Source organism: Homo sapiens, chromosome 8 (genome assembly GCF_000001405.40).
Source record: "Homo sapiens chromosome 8, GRCh38.p14 Primary Assembly".
NCBI lineage: Eukaryota > Metazoa > Chordata > Mammalia > Primates > Hominidae > Homo > Homo sapiens.
In genome coordinates this window covers 35161102-35165088 of record NC_000008.11, presented here as the reverse complement: position 1 = coordinate 35165088, position 3987 = coordinate 35161102, and positions in this window count along the sequence as shown.

The following is a 3987-nucleotide window of genomic DNA, read 5'->3' as shown; positions in this document are numbered from 1 at the left end:
TTATACTTATGCGTGTAGGTGGTAAATGATTCTTTGCCTTTTGATCTATGTATATTTGTAGATGCCATACACAAAGATAGAGTTAAGACTTCAAAAATGTTTCTTGCTCTTGTTACCAATAGATGACAGGCTTCTTTTCTTAACAGGAAAAGATTTTTCATCATTCATGGTGTGCTTTTGAAACTCTATTCAGCATAGGTAATTAAAGGGCCAGATTCATGTTTCGTTTGGTAAATTTCTGGCTTTTAGCACTGCCATTTTTCTTATGTTGGCATTTTAAAATTAAAGATCCAGATGATGCTTAAAGAGGGGTAAATTTCTTTCTATTTTTCTTGAAATTAAAAATACACATTTATTAGTTTCTAAAAATTATTTTATAATAACTGATTTCCACTAGTGTTCATTCAAAAAACTTGTAACACCAATATTAATACTGAAGTGTAAACAATGCAAATGCCATTTTTCATGATTTAATATTTCATTTAAAAAGAAAGCAAACAAAAATATCCCCAGTTTCCGTTTTCCTAGATTTTACTTGGTAGTTCTTCGTCACCCATTTTTGACCTGTGGAAGTAACACAGTGTAGCAGAGGGAAGATAGGCTTGGCAGTAACAGAAGCTTGAATTGATATCCCATCTCTCAGCTCAGTTGTGCATAAGTTATATAAACTCTGTGCACCCCAGTTTTCTTAAGTCACTGGAGATCAATGATGCCTGGCACACACTTATTATGAGGAAAAATAAAATAACTTATGTATTAGTTCATTCTCATACTGCTATAAAGATACTACTTGAAACTGGGTAATTTATAAAGGAAAGAGGTTGAATTGATTCACAGTTTTACATGGCTGGGGAGGCCTCAGGAAACTTACAATTATGGCAGAAGGCGAAGGAGGAGCAAGTACCTTCTTCACAAGGCAGCAGGAAAGAGAAAGAGCAGGAGGAAATGCCAAATACTTATAAAATCATAAAACTCATAAGAACACACTATCATGAGAACAGCATGGGGGAACCACCCACATGTTCCAGTCGCCTCCCACCAGGTCACTCCCTCCACATATGGGGATTACAATTTGAGATGAGACTTTGGTAGGGACACAGAGCCAAACCATATTGATGTATTGCAGAGCGTAAGTACAGTTCATATCTCTTCTCTTGGTTTTAAGAGGTAATGTCCACTGGGTATGTTATTTCAGTCCATAATCACCTGTAATCCCAACACTTTGGGAGGTCGAGATGGGTAGATCACTATAGGTCAGGAGTTGGAGACCAGCCTGGCCAACATGGTGAAACCCCGTCTCTACTAAAAATACAAAAATTAGCCGGGCGTGATGGTGGGTACTATAATCCCAGCTACAGGGGAGGCTGAGGCAGGAGATTCACCTGAACCCAGTAGGTGGAGGTTGTAGTGAGCTGAGATCACGCTACTGCACTCTAGCCTGGGTGACAGAGTGAGACTCCATCTCAAAAAGAAAAAAAAAGAGGTAATATCTATCAGATTCTGGAAACCATTTTTTTATTTAGGACAAATACCATTCTTTAAACATGTAGGTGGTGGTGAAGAGAAAGTCACCCAAGTAAAGGAAACAAAGTGAGAAGGATGAAAGGATGAAAAAGAAAGCTTTAAAACTGATTGCTTCCTGGAGAGGAAGAGCACCCATTACTCTGATGGTTTTTATTCCTTCAGCTACAGCCCAAGAAAGAACTAAATGTTAGAAGAGGATGATTACTGATTATTTAAAGGGCAATTGTAATGAGCTGAGATAGAATGATCACATTTCACAGCTTGATAAACCTTTTTCTTTTAAACAAAGAAAACATTTTCATTAAGTAGTATACAAAATTATTCAGGTTGGACTTGGCCATGATGTCTAGGATGAGCTAGGTGGAAAATTCTGCTTGAACGCAACGTATTGCTTGTATTTGCTGAAGCATAGAAGAAGAGAAATTGAAAGTTGTACGCATAAAAAAGGAAAAGATCATTTTATAAAAAAAACTTTGGCATGATATATCCTTAACAGGTGGAGCTTTCGAGAACATCAGCTGAGCTGCTTCTCAAATTTACGGCAGAAATTAAAGTCAAAGAAGGGAATTTTTCATCTGCAGAGTTCCTAATTAACAGGAATAGCAAGATTTTCTTTGTAAATTGATTTTTGAGTTCTTCATCTGAAGTGTGAAAGAACCCACAGTATTGTTTTCCTAGTAAACATTTTTTTGTTTGACTGTTCTGTTTCTTTTTTCTTCAGAGATAATAAAACCCCTTAACATTACCAGACTTTAATGATGAGGCTTTTTGATGACAAAGAGTGATTTCTTACAAAAAGAGTTTGGAGGATCCAGAAATGTTGCACTATCCCTCTCAGTCAGGTGCAATTATGTTCCCCAGTGATTTTTTCATCCTGGTTATCTATTTATCTAATGTCAAGCTATCACATCAGGACACCCTGTGGCAGGTTTAGCTGGTGAAGTGACTGTGTGAGTCCCACCCGTAGTGGCCATTGCTCACTCACTTTCTCTCCAGGTGACTAAAATCAGGTTTCATGATGATTACCCTGCTTATTCTTCCTGGAAAATTTTGCCAGAGTTTCTATTGCCTGCTAGATTCATGAAGCCCACTCAACAAGTTTCCTCAGGAATGTACCCTCCTATTGATCATGTGCTGAAAGTAAGAATATTTCTGTGAGTAGATGTATGTGAGTGTGTGCAAAGCAGAGATGGAGAAAGAGCAGGGCTTTCTTGTTGAAATAAAACATAATTTATTAATAGGAGCAGGCAGTTTTTGCTTCTGCTTGGCACTGTGCATAAAAAAGAGTCTTGTGTCTCCGTTTTCTTAGGGACTCAGTTCCAGTGATTTTCGTGTGTGTGTGTGTGTTTGTACATGCATGCATGTGTGCATCGGGGGAAAGGATTTGGGAGCATGGGGAGATCTAAGAGAATTCCTGCAGGCAAATTGACCAGCACAGCAAAACAAGAAAAAATTGGGATTAAACATAATTCTTTTCCCTTCAAAATATGAGGCATTCATAGGACAAAAACCACTTCCATAAGCAAGCCTTTGTTTGAATTTTCATAGTAATGCAAAAGTCTGAATGGGGCTTCAAGCTACTCTATATAAAGAATGGAGCGGCTCTGGGACAGGGCTATGGTTCCAGGCAGGAGCTGGGAGGAGATGGTAAGAGTTATTGGTTACAATTACCTGGGCTTTCTCTTGGTCTCTGGGTTTCTGGCTGGAATCCCTCATTGGCACCAAACTCACATTCTTACACAACGTTAATTTCTGCATGGATTAAAAGGCTGTTTAGTTTTTTTTTTTTTTTTTTTTTTTTTTTTTGCTGGATCAAATCACACTATGAGTCTAAGGTCCGAACTTTAACATTCCATATTTTCAGTTTAATTAGGTCCATATTTTAGGAAATGTTTTTCTGCCAACATCTACAGTAAAACACTCTTGTCAGGCAGGAGCTAATAATCTTCAGTGCTCTCTGGACTGGTCCATAATTAATTTTAAGAACAAAAGTAGGTTTATTAAAATTACTTATGTTGGATCCTGTTGTTGGGACTAGGGGACAAAATAAATAATTTCCAGGATTACTTTGCCACCTACTGTCCAGAGGTTAGCATGGAGTGTGATTAAAATACCTTTTTGGCCCACCTCAAGCTGTTTAAAATACCCCCCAGACCCCCTACTCAGTAATTTGTTACCAGCAGAAAGTCTGGCTTGAGCAGCTGTGAATTCCTAGGAGATAGAGGTTTCATGGGCACATTTTTACACGTTTCATTACCTGCAGGAAAGAAATAATTTTCCTCTTCAAAAGCAGACAATCGTTTCTGGGCTTGATTCTCCAATAATGAAGGTGAAGTGTATCTGTGTGTGTGTGTGTGTGTGTGTGTGTGTGTGTAGGACTGACAGCAATGAGGAGGCTTAATGTGTGTTTGCTTTTGGATGGAGGGATTGATACTTGGAAACACTTTGCCAGGAGCATTTAAT